At 55.3% G+C, this 18,278-nt stretch overlaps 1 protein-coding gene across 1 annotated transcript, besides 2 other annotated features; it reads left to right on the top strand.

Moving 5' to 3' along the window:
* The first annotated feature begins 2,207 nt into the window (after positions 1-2,207).
* On the top strand, positions 2,208-16,831 carry DRC11L (dynein regulatory complex subunit 11 like). Its single transcript, NM_001304419.2, has 19 exons — positions 2,208-2,260; positions 2,868-3,195; positions 4,190-4,309; positions 4,608-4,793; positions 7,250-7,321; positions 8,701-8,906; positions 9,798-9,882; positions 10,377-10,499; positions 10,652-10,727; positions 11,150-11,256; positions 12,046-12,129; positions 12,219-12,274; positions 13,106-13,188; positions 13,341-13,448; positions 14,214-14,413; positions 14,875-14,961; positions 15,251-15,428; positions 15,828-16,066; positions 16,617-16,831. The coding sequence occupies exons 1-19, from the start codon at positions 2,250-2,252 to the stop codon at positions 16,722-16,724; spliced, it is 2,457 nt and encodes an 818-aa protein (NP_001291348.1). The 5' UTR covers positions 2,208-2,249; the 3' UTR covers positions 16,725-16,831.
* Positions 8,086-9,072: an enhancer, noted in NCBI's record as "H3K4me1 hESC enhancer chr7:150895718-150896704 (GRCh37/hg19 assembly coordinates)". NCBI's record gives its function as "activates a minimal SCP1, AML or CMV promoter by ChIP-STARR-seq in naive H9 embryonic stem cells {active_cell/tissue: H9 hESC(naive)}" and the evidence as "EXISTENCE:reporter gene assay evidence [ECO:0000049][PMID:30033119]".
* Positions 11,014-11,753: an enhancer, noted in NCBI's record as "H3K4me1 hESC enhancer chr7:150893037-150893776 (GRCh37/hg19 assembly coordinates)". NCBI's record gives its function as "activates a minimal SCP1, AML or CMV promoter by ChIP-STARR-seq in primed H9 embryonic stem cells {active_cell/tissue: H9 hESC(primed)}" and the evidence as "EXISTENCE:reporter gene assay evidence [ECO:0000049][PMID:30033119]".

Below are 18,278 nucleotides of genomic sequence, written 5' to 3'. Positions count from 1 at the left end.
GTATCCCGTGAGCAACGTGTGATAGCTTTGTAAACATGCGAATGTTCTATTTGGTAGTGAGCTGAAATAGGACCTGGGACTGGACTAGCATCTGGATTTACCGCCAGCTGATTCCCTCTTGGGGCCTGAAATTCCTCCTGTATGGTCCTCTTTCAGGCTGTGTCTTCGCGATGTCATTTCCCACCAACTGTCATTGCATCCTGTACGACAGGCACTGTTGTGTGAAGGGGCCACACAGATCTATTCAAGATATAAAAACTGAAGGCCCAGATCGGCTTCTAAATAACCTGCTGAGATCAGTATGATTTTTCAGTTTCCCCTTTATTTCGGAACAAATCAGTGGGGATGTTTTTGAAACTCCTAACATCACCAATTTTATTTGGAAAAATTTGAAACCCACAGAAAAACTGCAAGAAGCACCACGGCCACGCCTATGTCCTTACCTAGATTTACTGCTCACCACTTAACCACTTGCTTTTCCTGTCTCATGCAGCCTCTGCTTATCTTGTGGGCACATGACCCATAAATCCTCTTCCAAGCTTGGACAAGATGAAGGGGTGGGATTTAGACAAACCTCCAATCCTTTGTGCCGTTTGTAATTGGACAGACCTGGCTTGTGGTCTCCTTCATCTCCACATATTGAAAAGGCATCGCCTTGTAGTAATAGCTGACGTTCAGCGGCAGCTACCTAGGTCACGTGTATTTTCTCATACCTCGAGCCTCACCTTGAGGTTCTGTGAGCTGAGGACTAATGATCCACGTTTACATTCACAGTTAGCAAGAGGCAGGCCCAGGAGATCTGGCCCCAAAGTCTCACTCCTGCCCACTCTGCCCTGTGTTCACACCTTGCCCTACCAGGCATGACCCGGGCCAGCAGGAGCCAAAGCACCTGGGAGCTTGTTAGAAAGGCAGGCTCTTGGGTCCCCCCTCAGATCTGGAGCAGAATCTGTTTATCTATCTATCTATCTATCTATCTATCTATCTTTGAGACAGAGTTTCGCTTTGTTGTCCAGGCTGGAGTGCAGTGGTGCCATCTCTGCTCACTGCAACCTCTCCCCATCCTAGGTTCAAGCGGTTGTCCTGCCTCAGCCTCCCGAGTAGCTGGGATTACAGGCATGTGCCACCAGGCCTGGCTAATTTTTATATTTTTAGTAGAGATGGGGTTTCACCATGTTGGCCAGGCTGGTCTTGAACTCCCAACCTCAGGAGATCCGCCTGCCCTGGCCTCCCAAAGTGCTGCGATTACAGGCATGAGCCACTGCGCCCAGCCTGGAATCTGCATTTTAATGAGACCCTCAGGTAGCTCATAGGCACCTTCGAGTTCCTCCTCTTTGCTCCTCCTTGCCGCTATCTCCCTTCTGTCCGTTTCCCTGGCCCTGTTCCTCTTAGATTTACTTATTCATAAGCCTCGACGTGACACTGAGCCAAAAAGCTCACCCCAGCTGACCAGCCTCAGGCTGCTAGTGGTATAATATTTTGTCTTTTTGGAAAAATTATCTCCTGAACTTGTAGCAGTGACGGGAGGTGGTACCCACAGGTGACCAAGTAAGCCCCAAGCATGCAGAACAGCATCCACTATACTTTCTAGCATGATGCTTCACACGGGTCTGGCTCATGGGAATGGTGTGAACTCTTGGCAGGCCCCAGGGAGGAAAGCATGGTTATGCTCACTTTCACCCAAGGGGGCAACTGGGACTTCAGGGCCTTCTGACTCCAAATCAGTGCCTTTCCCCTCCACCACATGGGCTTCCCCGTGCTGTCATCCAGAGAGTGAAGGAGGGCTGTGGGGCTCAGGAGGCGGGGGCTGAGAGAAGGAACAGAGGCCGCTGAGAGTGAGAAGCTGCGGTGATGCCTTGTTAGGGGGTAATGTCTTTAGGACAGATGTATCCAGAGCGCCAAAGCTTTCAGGGGACTTCAAATAGAAACTTATTTTACTTGTTCCTTACAAGAAAAATGGCCAAAGTTGGACAACATGTTCTGCCCTAAGCTTCCAAAGCTTGCTCTGCGGGAGCCTGCAGCCACCCACCCACAGTCCCTTCAGCGCGCTGCTCCCAGGACGTCCTCCGAGATAAATGTCCCCGATTCTGCACCCACCAGCCCCCTCGCCTCAGCCCTAGAACACTGGTACAATGGGTCAGAACTCTTAAAAACAGGCTGTTCTGCCCTGTGGCCCTGGAAGTCAGGGAGCCACAGAGGTTCTGTGAATTCCACCACCAGCAAACAAGGGGCAGCGTGGAGGAGTGGACACAATGTCTGAGGGGTGAGTGAGGGGCTGGAGTGGGGCTCCCAGGGCAGAGACAGCAAAGGGCAGAGCATCTCCTTAGTCCTGAGAGGCAGGGGCAGAGTGGCGGTTTGGGCACTGGGCCACCCCAGCTGCTGCTGCTGCCCTGGCAGCTTTCACTGTGGAAACTTCCCTCCGATGGTTAATTCCAGAACCAGGGCTCTGCTTGGGGAAGGGTCCCTCCTCCACATTCATCCCTCACCCCCACTTCCCATCCACCAGCCCAGATCACTGCAGCATCCGTGGGCTGCCCCACACCTGGAGGGCCCCACTGCCCCTGACTCCCAAAGACCCCTTCCTTACCAGAGCCCCAAGCCTGGGCTGGCTTTCCCCCAAACCCCCAAAGGTCATGCCCATTCTCTCTGCTAATCCTACAGCGGAGCCCAATCCCACACTCTCCCTAAGACCAGGTCGGTGTCCACTCATTGCCCTGCGGGCTCCTTACCTCATTGAAGTCCATTTAGGAGCCATGAGTGACATCACACCTTCTGGTACCCCGAGCCCACACTCCTCAAAAGGCCAGGCTGCTCCGTCTCCCCACTCCTCCGTGGCTCAGAGCACGCGGCGCCCGCCACCCTCTCCCCAGAGCTTACCAGCGCCTCTGGGAGTCCTCCCACGCGACCCTGCAGGAGCTGCTGGACCAAGAGCAGCTTCTGCTCGAACCTGCGCCCGACCGGGAGCGGCAGTCCTTCCAGTACAGGCTCGCATCGCTCTACCTGCACTACCTGGGGCTGCTGCGCCGCTTCGACACCGTCTATGACCAGATGGTGCAGCCGCAGAAGCGGCGGCTGCTGCGACGCCTGCTGGACGGCGTGGCGGGCCGCGTGCTGGAGCTCAAGGACGAGCTGGTGCGCGCCGACCTGTGTGAGAACCACTGCCTGGACCGCGTGCTGCAGGATTTCAAGCTCACCCCAGTACGTGTGCGCAGCCGCGAAGCCACGCCCCCAGCCAGCTAGCGGGAGGGGAGAGGTGGGGTGGGACCGGCCTTGACCACCTGGGACACAGAGCCACGCCCTGGCCAGCTTGGGGTCGGGTGGGGTAGGGATGGGGCCGACCACCCCTGCCTACCCGCCACCCCACGGATATCCCTGGTGTTGGGACAACTGCTAGGAAAGGAAGGAGGGCAGAGAAGATCAGAGGATGGGGTTTGGCCTTGTAGGAAGGGCTTCAGGAACCTTGGCGGTGGGGGGTGTGCATGGAGGTACTTAGAGGTTGGATGGAGTCAGGGTGAGGTCCCCTGCATGACTGGGAAGACCCACGAACCGCAGGGAATTGGTGAGGAGAGTCCTTTAGAGCCTCCTCAAAGTGTGGTCCCTGGACCAGCAGCATTGACATCACAAATGAGAAACTCTGAATCCCTAACTCACTAAATCTGCACCTGCATTTTTATCAAGACCCTCCAGTGATCTGTGTGCACGGGCAAGTTCTAGAAGGCTGTTCTAGAGCACAGAGCTTCTGCGGCGCCTCCAGTCCGGCTCAGGGTTCAGTAACTGCTTCATATCCAAGACTATCTCAAAGTTTCCCCAACCAGCTGCAGCAGTGCACTTGGTCGGGGGTGGGGGCGCAGGGAAGATTCCCCAGGTCCTGTCATTCTGATGTAGTAGTCTGAGGAGGACCTAGGAATCTGCATTTAAGAGCTTCCCAGTTGATTGTGATGCACAACCAGGTCTGAGACCACTGCCACCTACCATGAGCCTCCAGAATTCAACTCCAGCCAGAGGATGGGGGCAGAGGAAGAGAGGAGTGGCTCTTGGGGGTATCTGCCCCATTACCCTTTAAGTTTAGTCAGGACTCTAAAATGGAGGAAAACAGTGCTGGGGGTGTGTAAGCCCCTAAAAATGGTAACGGATCGGCCAGATGGCTCAGACTTTTGATTCCTGACCCTCCTCCCCCAACATTGCTCCAAAGGCTGACCTGGAGGTTCCAATCCCCAAATACTTCCTGCTGGAGCAGTCCACCACTGTGCGGGAGCGAGGGCTGATACTGGCCGAGATCCTGTCCAGACTGGAGCCAGTGTCCTCCCAGAAGGTAAACGGGGGTGACACCCTCCCAGACTCTTCCATACCCCATCTCCTGAAAGACTCCAGAATGCAGAGAGGCCCCTCCCTGCTCTCTACCAGAGTGCCCTTTAGGTAATCCCTGGCCTCCTTCAAGGCTGTTCTTCTGCTGATGGTAACCCTCCAACGCCAAGACAAGACTTGGCCTCCCAGATACTCTGGGAGGATGGTGTCCTGGTGCATCCTTTGATGGCTGGTCTCCCAGCGGCCCACCCTGGATGCAAGCTCTCCCTCATGTGCTCCTGCTCTTTTGCCCCTGCTCTGGCCAGAGCTTTACAGGAATGCACCGGACTGAGGCCATAATTCTAGTGCAAAAGGCAGAGCGGGCGAGGCAAGGCCGGCTTCGAGCCACCTTCATGCGAGAGATTCGAAGAGATGAGGAGCAGGATGGGAGGATTCGGGAGGATGGATGGCACAAGTTCAGTCAGGGCCAAGCAGCTGTCACCATACAGAAGGTAACCCTAGGTGCCCAGGAGGAGGGTCAGGGTAGAGTCACCTCATTCAGGAAGCCTGCTGGGCTCAGTAATTGATCACAGGAGTGCAAGTGCTTGGATTCTGTAGATTTCAGCTCACTGCAGCCTCTGTGTCCTGGGTTCAAGCGATTCTCGTGCTTCAGCCTCCTGAGTAGCCAGGACTACAATCCTTTGACAATACGCCCAGCTAATTTTTGTATTTTTAGTAGAGATGGGTTTCACCATGTTGGCCAGGCTGCTCTTGATCTCCTGACTTCAAGCGATCTACCCACCTCAGCCTCCCAAAGTGCTGGGATTACAGGCGTGAGCCACCATGCCCAGCCCCCACAACTAGATTCTAAACCAGTCAGTACTTTAATCAGTCAGCAAGCATGTATCTTACTCATTTATTATTTAATCTACATCTCTATTTTCAAAAGGGTTTGTAGTAGGATACCTTAAAAATCCCAGAAACAGAAGGATCATTAAAATTAGAGAAGAAAGATCCATAATAGCATAGAACAGAATAGATGATCACTCCAGAAACTCTTAAGACTGTTGAAAATGAGCCACTAAAATGTATCCTGCTGAGGCTGGAGCATTGCTTGAGCCCTGAGCAATGTGGCAAGACCCCATCTCTTAAAACAAGAAAGGATCCTGAGCCTCCTGGAAACTAAGACAGAGGGAAACTTGATCATGATGAATTAATTTGATAACTGATGTGATCTGAGCACCCCCAAACTCTGTGCCTTCTGGGTCACCTTTTAACATGGAAATAACATAATTTCCATAATTCTATCCCCTGTCTCACCTCACTGCAGAAAGCCCTTCTCTGCCCTAAGGTTCCCCGAGCATTCTTACCATCCTGGTTCTCACACGTCTCCTTTGCTCTGGACAGCCACTCTGCACCTCTCTGGGTCAGCCTCTGCTGTTGGCCTTGATGTGTGAACATGGCCTCTCCTACCATTCCTTAAAATGCTGCTAACACAGGCTGACTCCTGGTAGTAGTGGTTAACAGCTTGACCAGAGACTGGAGGAGCCCCGGGAAAATTCCAGTGCAGGAACAGACCACTTTCTGTTCATGCAGGTGTCACTGCCCCTAAGGCCACCGGCCCTGCTCTGTCATGGAAGCCTCTTGCCACCTTTTCTTTCCAGGAACTGTTGACCTGGGGTGGGCCCTCTTTCTCTCTCAAATCAATCTCCCCCGCCTTCCTCTCTCTCTCAAGTCCCAATACCTCAAAAACCTCTGCCTCCTAGCCCACTAGAGAAAACTTAGAACTTCCCACCAAAAGACAAAAGCAGGCAACCAACTAACAAACAATAGTGATTCTATGAAGATATATCATCTGCAAATGGGATAGATTCGTGCATTACTTATCAGTACACTGAGCATGCTGGTCTGAGGCAGGATGACTGTGTCAATGTCTGGCTTAGAAGGAGGTTCTCGACAGCAGGGCTCACTAAAGCAAAGAAGTCAAGAAGGAGGATGGACCCCAAAGATGGAGTCCCACTTCCCCTGTAGACCAAAGCAGATCATTTTGTACCTGTTGCCAGACATCAAGAGTACAGAAATATTGCGTGCTGGTCTTAGAGTCATCCAGAGCACTGAGAAAAGGAAAGAATATATGAAGGACCCAGTCATGGCAGGCCTGGTCTGTGGTGGTCACAGGAGTGGGAGGACGAAGCCCAGATGAGAAGGGCAGGAACCGGTCCCTGCTCCTGGAGGTGCCAGGAGGCAGATGGAAAGCACTGGCTGGCCCGGGCCCTGACTCTGCCTTCCTCTGCCCAGCGTCCCCACCCTCTGGCCCCACTAGCACTCAGTGATCCTGGAGTCTGAAAGTAGCTGGGCCTGGGAGAAAGAGGACGCGTCCAGCTCTGCACAGATGGGGTCTTGGGCCTGGGAGAAAGAGGACGGGTCCAGCTCTGCACAGATGGGGTCTTGGGCCTGGGAGAAAGAGGACGGGTCCAGCTCTGCACAGATGGGGTCTTGGGCCTGGGAGAGGTCATGTCCAGTCTCCGGCCTCAGTTGCCTTGGGTCAAAAATGTAGGATTAACTGAGGAGCTCCACAGTCCCTGCAGCGCCAGTGTCTATGTGCCTGGGTGGAATCAAGTATTTATTCCAACTGCTCTGGGGATTCTGAGGAGGGGGTGTAGGGAATGTGTAGGGTGCTTGAGCTCTGATCTGTCCCTCAAAAGAGATAGCAAATCAGGGTGGCGAGGGGAAGGAAGAAATCCCTGGGGGGCCCTGGGGCCAGTTGACTTGAGTGCCCACCTGAAACCACCCTGTTCCAGGCTGTTTGTGCTCAGTGTGCACCTGAGCAGGCTTGCCCAGGGCTCCTCCCCACCCCACCGGAAATCTCTAGTGTGACCCTCTCGGACCCTCTCTGAGAGACAGGCTGCTGCAGGGTGGAGACTGTGTGTCCTGTGTGTCCTGTGTGTCCCCTACATCCCTCCGCCAGGTGTGGAAAGGCTATCTGCAGAGGAAACGCACTCAGCAGGACCGGCGAATGGAGATGGAGTTCATTGGCATGGTGAGCTCAACCTGCCCACCATGGTGGGTCCTGGAACACAGGGCTGGCCAGGGCAGGGCCCCCACCCAGAGCAGTCTTCTTCCAGCCCCACAGTGCCCACGGTGCTCTCCACTCAGGCCAGGTGAACAGCCTGGGAGAGAAAGAGGCAGAAGGACAGAAAAGCCCCCTGGCCATATCCCTTCACACCCTTTTTCTTGTAGAAATCCGGCCCCTGGCAGCAGCTCACCTGTGGAGCCATGAAGGGCACTGTGTAGAGCATCCTGGACCCCATGTTCCCACCCCCAGCTGGAAGGGGCTGCAGGGGTGGACCCCAGAGGGAGGAGGCTATAAAGCCAGCAGGAGCACCCACACTGCCCCCCACAAGCCTCTGGCAGCCACGGGGAGACACCAGGGGCTGTGTTGGGTGGGGACACACTCCCCAAACCAGGGCTTTCCAGGCCATGTGCCTGTGTGCACACACGTGTGCCTGGCCAAAGTGAGTAGGCCTGGCTCCTTGAATCTGTCTATCCCCTGTTCTCTGTCCTCTCACCCAGCTGGTCTCCACTGACTTAGGAAAGGCAGGCCGAGCCTGGAGGGGTGGCCGGAGCATGCTCCCTGGGGGAAGGGCTTTGCCCCAGGCAGATCCTTTGGAGGCCTGGCTGCCAGAAGGAGCTGAGGAGGGGGCTGGGCTGGGGACTGGAGGGATTGGAGGGAAGGGAGCCTTCCCAGGTCTGGTGACATCTTGGCAGGCTGGGAGGCTACCACTGGAGGCTTGGAGCCTTGGGAGGAAGGAGGGGCCAGGGGCTGCTGTGTGGGAGTGGAGGTCAGAGACTTGTTGGGGGGCCAGAGGGCTGGACCCCCAGGAGACGAGAGCAGGCCGAAAGAGGCAGGGGTTGGCTTCAGCAGGGAGGGGTCCGTGCACGGCAGTGGGTGAGGAATGAGCCCGGCCGCCCGGGCCTATCAACAGTGTGAGCTCAGCGTTTTCAGTAATTGTCTCTGCGCAGAGTGATATTTAAAATACATTTGGGAGCCAATGAGGCGGGAAAGTGGCTGCGAGAGCGGCTGCCAACTCGGCCGCGGGGCGGGGGTGCAGGCGGGGGCTGGGGCCGGAGGCTCCAGGGGAGGGTGTGCTGGGGAAATCGGGCAGGGGACAGCCTGGATGCATCTAGCAGACTCATTATTAGAGTAATTTACACAGACGAATTCGGCTCCAAACACAGTTTCTCCCGATGCAGGCATGCCCGTTGTTCCGTGTGGGTGTGTGTGTGAGGCCTTGTGTGAGCGTGGTGTTGGGGAAGGAGTGGGTACAGGCGTGTGTGCCCGAGGCTGGGGGCTGCATCCAGACTGGTTGCTGGTTCCTCCCACTCCTGAGCCCCTCAGCCTCTCTTCCACTCCCCCAGCTCCCCTCACCCAACCAGGTAGAGCACCTGAGCATCATCTCCCAGCCATGCCTCGTGGAGGATGTCCAGAGGCTCCGCCAGATGGAGAAAGAGGAGGAGTTCCGGGCAGCAATGGTGAAGGCCCATGATTCTCTGGTAGAGACAGAGGGGCCTGACATGAAGGAGAAAATGAAGGAGCAAATCCGACAGTGGTTTATCGAGTGCCAGTCAGTGTCCTCAGCTGACCCTACCCTCCATCCTTCATTCCCTTCGCTCAGGGTCCCTCAGGGCTGCTCCTGCCCCATCCCCTGCATGGGTTCTGCCTTCTAGTCCAGATGGGGCCTTTTCTCCTCTACCCCCAGGTCCCCAACACACTGCTGACCCTCTTGGTTTCAACAACTTTGGGCCCCCAGTGTACAGGACCATCTCCACACCTGACTTCTCAATTCCACAAGGGAGAGAAAGTGCCAGAATAGGGTGGGGAAAGCACCCATGGATGCCCCCTGAGTGATCTGTCCTCCTGTTTGTAACAATCCATTTCTCCCACCTCTCCCTCCGTCACCCTGGTCCTTTATTTTTCTCTGGTGTTCTCCATCCATCCACCCACCCTTTTATCCGCCTCTCCATCTACCTATCCATCCATCCACTCACCCGTCTACCCAACTGTCTATCTATCCTTCCATCTGTCCATCTGCCCATCCACCTACCCACCCTTCTACCTACCTCTCCATCTATCTACCCATGCATCTGCCCATCTGCCCACCCACCCTTCTACCCACCTCTCCATCTGTCTATCCATCTGTCCATCCACCCACCCACCTACCCACCTCTCCATCTCCCCATCCATCCATCCACACATCTACCCACCCTTCTACCCACCTCTCTGTCTATCCTTCCATCTGTTCATCCACCCACCCACCCTTCTACCCACCTCTCCATCTATCCACTCATGCATCTGCCCATCTACCCACTCACCCTTCTACCTACCTCTCCATCTATCTATCCATCTGTCCATCCATCCACCAACCCTTCTACCCACCTCTCTGTCTACCTATCCATCCATCCATTTGTCCATCCATCTATTCATCTTTCTGTCCAATCATCTTTTGTTCACTTAGTGACCTTACTGGCCGGTTCCCTGATTATCCAGATGCGTCTTCAGGTGGATCCTACTCAATCTTTGCAGACAAAACGCCAGAACAGGTACCCTGTTGGAGGTGGGGCAGATGGTTTTTTGTGGCAGGTGGAGCCTGAGGCTACAGAGAATAGCGAGTGGGGTGGGGTAGGGGGTCAGCCTCAATGGAGGCAGAGGTGGCTGGGGGAAATGCAGGCAGCTAGAAAGACGGCATGGGGAAGAGGAGCAAGGAGCAGCTGCGGCTGGAGCAGGCATTGTGGCTGGGAAAGGAAGGATGTCTGGGTAGACTGCAGTGGCTCCAGATCCCGTGGCCCAAGAGAGAACAGTGGCTCTCACCAGAACGCTCCTTCTTGGGCACCCTTTCTCCTTGGACCCCAAAGGAGTCTCTGCATGCTCAGCTGTCCCGACCCCATCAGTTACTCTAGGCCTAGGGAATCGTTGGTTCACCCCAGTATCAGGCCCTGAGCCTGAGAGATCGCCAGCTCTCTTCTGTAAAACCCAGGGCTCTCTTCTGTAAAATCCCCTTGATCTTCTCTGAAATGTCTTGGGTCATTGGTCACAGGTGAGAATGGAACTGGAAATGCAGATGCAAGAGAACAGAAAAAAGGAACAAGAGAAGAGCAAGGAAAAAGGAAAGGATGAAAAAGAGAAGAAGAAAGGAAAGGAAGAAAAGGCCAAGAAGGGGGTAAGATACCTCTCGGATGCATGGTGTGAGGGACAGGGAGGAGAAGGTGTGGGGGAACTCGTGGTAGGAAGATGGGTTCAGGTAAGATTAGGGCCAGAGTCTGTGCTAGGCAGAGGTGAGGAAGTCAAGGTCAAAGAATGTTTCTATTCTAGGAAGTGGATGCGGTGTTGCAAGTGTTGCCATCCAAATGTATCCCTATGATCTGTGCCGGGCATGAAGAATACTTAAGTAAGAGGGGAGATGGCTGGGGAAGAGTGTCTGTGCCTTGTGGGACCTGGGGCCCTGGGTCCTGGAGAAAGTGGGTGTCTGCACACGGACCATGAAGTGGCAGTGTGGGTGTGTAGGCAAAGGGGACAACACCAAATGAGGAGAGGGAGGTATGGTGTGCTTCTTCGGGTGGGGGCGTTACAGATTTGGGTCTGAATTCTGTGGCCACAGGCCTTGGGGTCAAGCCTATTTGCCGTCTGGGTAGAAGCAATGCCAGGCTGGTGGGTGGGGACAAGGCAACCAGCCAGGGCCTGGCTCCTGACCTGTGTGCACACATGTGTCTGTGTGCACGTATGTGTGCATGTGCTTGTGCACGCATGAATGCATGTGTGTATGCACCCGGCACTCTGACCTTCACGCATCCATCCATTCTCTGCGGTCAGATACATGGAAGAACCGGTGTGAGAGCATACACCCCAGTCAGAATTATGACTCCGAGACCCTCCGGGAGGAGAAGAGGAAAGAGGTGGAGCTGGAGATCCGGATACAGGTGTGAGCACAGGGTCAGGGCTTCCCTGCAGGCCACCACCCTGTACCCTCCCCCATAACCCACATTTCCAGCCAGATTCAGGCTCCTCCCCACCCATTTCTCTGCCTCTCTCTTGTCCTGAACACCCAACCCCAGTCCCCAGCTCATCCTCGGTAGACTTTGCTGCCTCCATGCATGGTCCTAGCTCCACCTGCTGCCCACGTCAGTTCCCACCTTCCTCTGCCTCCCCCGGTCCCACTTTCTTCCAGGGCTAATGCAGCAGGGGTGTGGAGGGTATGGGAGGGGCTCGGAGCCAGGGTGTCCACACCCCCCCACCATCCTCAGGAACCCTCTGACGACGTGTCCCACCCATGCCGTGGGCTTCAGGAGTGTTCAGTCATGTGATCTTTCACACAACCCATGAGGAAAGTACCGTGGTTTTCCTGATGGTACACACGGGAAACTGAGGCTAAGCGGTTATGCAATCATTTAGGTCACAAAGACCTCAGCGGGGGATCTTCGGTTTGAATTCCATCTGGGGGCTTCTCCGCATGTTGAAGGCTGTTAAGAACAGGGCTCCTGAGAGAGCAGGAAGAGGATTAGGCCTGGGTGTGAACAGGTGCCAGGAGGGAGGGAGGAATGCAGAGGAATGTTCGGGAAGGCATCAGGGCTGTCCCTACTGCCTTCATCGGGCTCACTGGGCTCTTCTGTAAGGCTCCTCCCCTCCTTCCCATCCCTGCCTGCCTGCTCCTCTCCCACCTGTCCTCCCAGCCCCAGGCCACCCCGCCACACCTCGGCTGTCTCCCCTAGGTGGATGAGCTGATGCGTCAGGAGCTGAGGAAGCTCCGTCTGGCTGTGGACAAGGAGGAAGAAAGACCCCTGAGGGCTCCAAAGGCAAGATGAGGGGCTGGGGCTGGGCAGGGGAGGGCACACAGGGAGGCAAGGAACAGGGCACAGTGACCTACGCACTCGTTTCCAACCAGAAAACACCTGGGAAGAAAACTGGGAAAAAGAAGGAAAAAGATCTGACCTCAGACAGGTAGCAGGACCCTGTCGTGCCCACTTTGCATGGTGGTGGTGGTGGAGTAAGTCCCAGTCCAGGGACCTGACTGCAGGTCCTGGCTCTGCTGCTGTGAGACCTTGGGAAAGTCGCTTTCCCTCTCTGACTCCCTGGCCTCGTTCACCAAGTACCTGCCCTGCCAAACTCAGGTGATAGCCGTGGGGATCAAGCAAAGGCACAAGAAAGGGCTCTGTACGTGAGATGCAGAGCGAGATCTCAATGGAGTTTATAATCAGGTCATTGCTCTCCACTTCCAGATCCTTCCTCCAACCTTTGCCTTAACCAGCTCTGTCTCTGCCAAAGTCATTTCCCCCTGGACTTCCCACTCTGAGACATTAAGGGACTTGTCAGTGGTCCCTTCCTGCTGACTTGTCTGGTAAAGAGAGCTCACAAGCGACTTGACGTCAGCTGCTTGAATTTAATGTCTGTCTCTCCCAGGAGCACTCACGTCTTAAATGTAGTTTCTAAGAAGAGGGCAATGCTTAACTCAAATGACTGGATTTCTAATGGTGGACCTTTGGTCAGGGGGCAGACTAATGAGTGTCACAGAGGCCCCTGTCCCCCTCACACCCCTCTTACAGAGCACCCACTGGGGGAGGCTTGCCTCCTGGGACAGTGATTTGGTGCCATACCTGATTCTGCCTGTTTGCAGGCACTGTAGATGTTTTTGACCACAGAATGTTGTACAGGAGAACCACTGATACCCTGTCTTCATGACAACAGCCCCCATCTCTGCCTCCATTTCCCTGTGTTCTCACTTGCTAATGTCCCTTGTGGTGGTGGGGGTCTTCCTGTGCCATCCTCTGCCAGGTCTGTGGAGTCTCTGTACGAAGAGCTTGTTATTTCTGGCCTTCTAAGGAAGAGTGAGTCAGTAGCATTGAAAGACTACATAGGTGAGACCCCTCCCAGAATGCCTGTTCCCACTCTGTGGCCAGGTGCCAAGGCTCCCCTACCCCCATCCACCAGCCCCGCCTTCCCTGTGGCTGATCACCTGATTGCCACTCGGAGAGTGTGCCTGTCACTCAGTGGCTGCCTATCGCCACAGGTGACTTCCTGTATCTTGGATCCACTCTGAGTTTGGTGAAGAAGTTGCCCATGCCATCCCTGTTTGACATACGACAGAATGTGGCTTTGTATGCGGTCCTTCGGCTTGGTGAGAGGCTCTGGGGGTGTGAGGAGCCAGCTCTGGGCAGGCAGCCCTTGGGGTGAGGGCTGGGGTCAGGGTAGGGTGGCTGAGGTGGACATGTCCAGCCTGGGCCTCCAAGCCCCAGGTCCTCCTGCCCTGCCCAGGCCCTGCTGGAGGTCACACCCAGATTGGGCCACTCCAGAAATCAGGTGGGCCCTTGACCTGCTGAAAGAGCCCACGCTGCCAGCCCCTTACTCAATCCCAAGGGACAACCCAGGGTCTGTTCTGCTCCCAGAAGACCACCAGCCCTATACCCCCTGAGCTGAAGAGCTTTCTGAAGTGATTTATCCCATGCCTTCCTTTTTTTTTTTTTTTTGAGATAGAGTCTCAGTCTGTCGCCCAGGCTGGAGTGCAGTGGCACAATCTCAGCTCACTGCAAACTCCACCTCCCGTGTCCCGTGCCTTTCAGTTCCACCACTCATAATCCAGGAGTGGAAGCAGATGGAATGGAAAACAGAAAGGGCATTAGTGGGGGTAGCAGGCTCCTCCCAGACCCATGCACAACTCCTCATACTGGAGACTCATAAGCCATTCAAAATTTCCTGCTGCCACTCCCGGCTCCCAGACCTAGTGGACTAGGGGACCTGCTGGTGTTGGGGAAGGTAGTATGCCCTGTGATCTGCACCTCCTCCCCCAGCCCTAGGCCCTTGGCCTGACCTTACGCAGTCATCTCCAGCCCTGATTCCTGCTGCTGACCTGTTGCCTGGCTCTGGCCCATTTCCTTGCTCTCAGGCTCCCCGGATATCCACATCATGGCCCCACTCATCCGCTCCATCCTCCTGGTGGGCCCCTCTGGCATGGGGAAGAAGATGCTGGTCAAGGCAGTGTGCACAGAAACTGGCGCCAACCTGTTCGACCTGTCGCCGGAAAACCTGCTGGGCAAATATCCTGGCAGGAATGGGGCACAGATGATGGTGCATATAGTCTTTAAGGTCCGGAGCCCCCAGCTTTTGGCATTTGCGGTTCTCAGACCTGTGGCAACAAAGGAGGGGGGCTTTGAGGTCACGTCACCCATCAGCCTACTGGGTATGATTTCAGGTGCTGAACTGGTGAGGTCTCCCTACCAACCGGGCTAGGAGCTTGGGTTCCCCCTGCAGCCCCTGTGGTGGGGGAATGAAGGGAAAAGGGAGGACACAGAGCAGTTTCTTTTCATGGTAGGATGAGACTGAATATGCAGCTCCCCCATGGGGGGCAGTGACTCAGTTTACCCTGAGGTGTGAGATATGTGCAGCAGCAGGCTGGGAGGTGGGACTTCCAGGTGTGGGGAGTGGAGACGGGGCTCCAAGGTCAGCCCCTGCTCAAGGCCGGCCCTCATCCTGCCTTCTGACCAGCAGGGACATGACCCTTCTCCAGAGACATCTAACATCTGATTTCTACATTCTGACCCATCCAGGTAGCCCGACTCCTACAGCCCTCTGTGATTTGGATTGGAAATGCTGAGAAGAATTTCTATAAGAAGACCCCCAAAGAAGACAAGGAGGTGAGGGAGCATGGATGTGAAGGCCGTGTGGGCAGGTAGCGTGAGCTGGGGCTAAGCTGGAAGGCCTGGGCTTGTTCCAGTCGCTCCAAACCCCAACCACTGGGGCCTTGCACATGCCCCTCTACTCCTCACACCTAGTTTCCTTGTCTCAAAGCAGGATGGGCAGCCTCCTCATCCCGCTAGGGCTGAGGTGAGGCTGAGGGTGGGGTGGGCTCTGAGAACTTGGGAGCCCCATACGCTGGGCCACTGTGCCCCAGCCCCACCACTCCTCCCTCCTCCCCTGGAGCAGATGGACCCAAAGCGGATAAAGAAGGACCTCACCAAGGCCTTGCGGCTGCTGACTCCCGGAGACCGTGTGATGCTGATTGGGACAACCTCCCGGCCACAGCTGGCCGAGATGCGGGGTCTGTGCCGGGTCTACGAGCGGATCCTCTTCATGCCCCGGCCTGACTACGCATCCCGCTATGGTGAGGCCTGGGGATGTGGGGACGGCTGCGCCTACCAAAGCCTGCCCACCTCCCGCCCCATACCCCATTGCTGCTGCGAGCCCTCACCCCCACAGCCCGGTCTTCTGGAAGGGCTGCTGGACAAGCAGCCCAGTGGCCTGGGTCCTGGCTTTGGCTCTGTGGACGCGAGCAGGTGGTCTATGTCCTCCGAGGCTCTAATTCCTCGGGTTGAGTTGGGAGGATGACCCTTGCCTAGCTTGAGATCCAGTACCTTCCCTGGGGAAGGGGAGCTGATGGATGTGGAGCTGCTCCCCGGAGCACAAAACTCCTTCCAGATCCAGGCGGGGGCTGCTCAGGCCTTGTTGCCCCTCCCTGGTGCCCACTGCCCCTCCAGGCCCCATGTCTTCCACATGCCTGCAGTGCTCTGGAAGCGTATGATAGAGGCCCGGGGCATCCAGCCGACCCAGCACCTGGACATCAGTGCCCTAGCCAAGGTCTCCGATGGCTACACGCCGGGTCACATTCTCCAAGCCATCCAATCGGTGCTGAGTGAGCGGCGGTTCCTGCAACTGTCCAAGCGGCCCCTGGTGGCCTCTGAGTTCCTGGGACAACTGGTGAAGCTGGATCCAGTGTACAGGGAGGAGGAGGAGTCCCTGAAGGTGAGGTGGCAGGGCCAGGGGCTGTGGGTAAGCAGCGCCCTTGGGGAGTCAGCCCCCTGAAGCACAACTCGGACCCCTCTCTCTGCTCCCACAAATTACCAGAAGACAATCAGTGGAAATGTGTGTGGAGCTCAGCTGGGAAGGGAGCAGGAAATCACCAGGAAATGCCAAGGCTTCGGGGCCGTCCCACCTGGTTTCCCTGAGGGTGGGAGCTTGCAAGAACCACCGAGGTATCAGGAGCCCTTTGTGGGTTCTGGTAGCAGCTGCCACCCACCTTTCCCACCCCCGAGTCAGTGCCCCTGCCAAGGATGGCCTTGGGAATGCAGGAGAGAGGGCTGCAGGTGTGGAGGGAAGAGGGCTTGCCCACTAAGAACGGCTGACATTGTACCTGAAGCATTTGGTGGGGAGCAAGGGAAACCCCAGCACTAATAGGACCCCCAAACCCAGGAGGAGAGGAGAAGAGGCTGCTGAGGAAACAATCTGTAAAAGGGGGAGGGGTGAGGTCAGGATGGGTCTGAGGGCCTTACCACTCCTGTACCCACCAACCCAGGACTGGTACTTCAAGACCCCACTGGGCAAGAAGAGCATGAAACACAGGATGGACCAGTTGGAGGCCGAGGAGGCCAAGCTGGACAAGGAGAAGAAGAAAAGGAAGTGATGGCTAAGGCTTGCGGGCACCTGAGATTAGTGGCGTGGGACAGGGCAGTGGCCCAAGGGTAAAGGGATGGGGCAGAGGCATAAATGCCCAGATGACTTGGGAACAAACTCTTCTTGTCCATCCATGTCCGTGTCTTCCCACCCTTCCCTCTGTGCCCCCACCTGTGCCTGGCGCTGTCTAGCCCACACCTCTCTCCTGGGCCCTGGCCCTTGCCAGCTCACTGCCACCTCCTTGCTCTGCCTCCTAGATCCCTGTCCTCAGCCCCCACTTCCAGGTCTTCATCTCCTTGTCATTGTCCTATCCTGGCTCCCTGAATCTCTTCCTCCTTGAGGTATTTAAGGGAGAAAAAATAGGAAGAGGAGAGAGGGAAAGAGAAGAGTAGGGAGAAGGAAGGTCTGCAGTCAGATAGAAAAAGCACAGGTCTGGAAGTTAACTGTCCCTGGTTCTAAATGCACTTGGCACTAACTCCCTGTGTGACCTGGAGAGTGCTTTCCTGTCTCTGGGCCTCAGTTTTCTTACTTATAAAGCAGAGAGAGATTGGACCAGGAATTTCTAAGGTCCCTTTTACTCTAGGGTTTGACTATTGTAGCAAAAGTGTCTGGGAAGTCAGGGCAGAGAGGTGCTTGGGGAGTGGCGGGGGCAGGATGGGAAGCAGGGCTCAGCAGAGGTGTGGGGAAGCGGTAGGGCTTTGTGACTAGGGTAAGGGCTGCTAGTAGACCCAATGCTGCAATGGACATGGGAGAGCAGCATTGGATCGACCCAGTTTCTCAGAGTGGCCTTCATCTCTTTCCTCTAAAGACCTGTCCCCTGGCACTCTGCCTGCCCCAGCTGTGCACTGCATCCTCTGACCACAGCCTAACCCTCAGGGCTCAATGGGATAGAGCCTCCTGCCCCTGGGGTGGGAGTCCATCTGTGGGTTTCCCCTTGCTGGGGAGGGAACAGCTCAGGGGAGAACGGGGTCAGAGAACTTAGGGAGCAGGGGCAACCATACCACCAAGGGCTGGTGAGCCCCAGAGTGTTCTCTTGAAAGAGGCAGACCCATGGACCATGTACACAGTGTGTGGATGAAGGCCAAGGTGTGTCCACAGGTAGTAAGAGACAACAGGAGACCTGAAACTATAAAACCCCTAGAAGAAAACATAAGGGAAAGCTCCATGATATTGGTCTGGGCAGAGATTTCTTGGATATGACCTCAAAAGCACAGGCAATGAAAGCAAAAGTAGATGAATGGGATTGTACCAGACTAAAAGGTTTCTGCACAGCAGAGGAAATGACAGAGTGGAGAAACAATCTACAGACTGGGAAAAAAATATTTGCAAATCAAACATCGGATAAGGGGTGAATATCCAAACTACACAAGGAACTCAAACTACTAAATAACAACAACAACAACAAAATACCCCATTAAAAAATGAACAAAGGACTTGAACAGACACTTCTCAAAAGAAGACATACAAATGGCCAACATATATTGGAAAATATGTTCAACATTAGTAATCAGAGAAATGTGAATCAAAAACCATAATGAGATATTATCTCACACCTGTTAGACTG

Source organism: Homo sapiens, chromosome 7 (assembly GCF_000001405.40).
Source record: "Homo sapiens chromosome 7, GRCh38.p14 Primary Assembly".
NCBI classification, from domain to species: domain Eukaryota; kingdom Metazoa; phylum Chordata; class Mammalia; order Primates; family Hominidae; genus Homo; species Homo sapiens.
This window is presented reverse-complemented; position numbering and strand designations above follow the sequence as displayed.

Excerpts from the sequence above, each read along its gene's own strand:
- DRC11L (NM_001304419.2), top strand. Across the intron at positions 4,310-4,607 it reads AGCCAGTGTCCTCCCAGAAG|AGCTTTACAGGAATGCACCG; the intron begins GTAAACGGGGGT and ends TGCTCTGGCCAG. Across the intron at positions 10,728-11,149 it reads CGGGCATGAAGAATACTTAA|ATACATGGAAGAACCGGTGT; the intron begins GTAAGAGGGGAG and ends CTCTGCGGTCAG.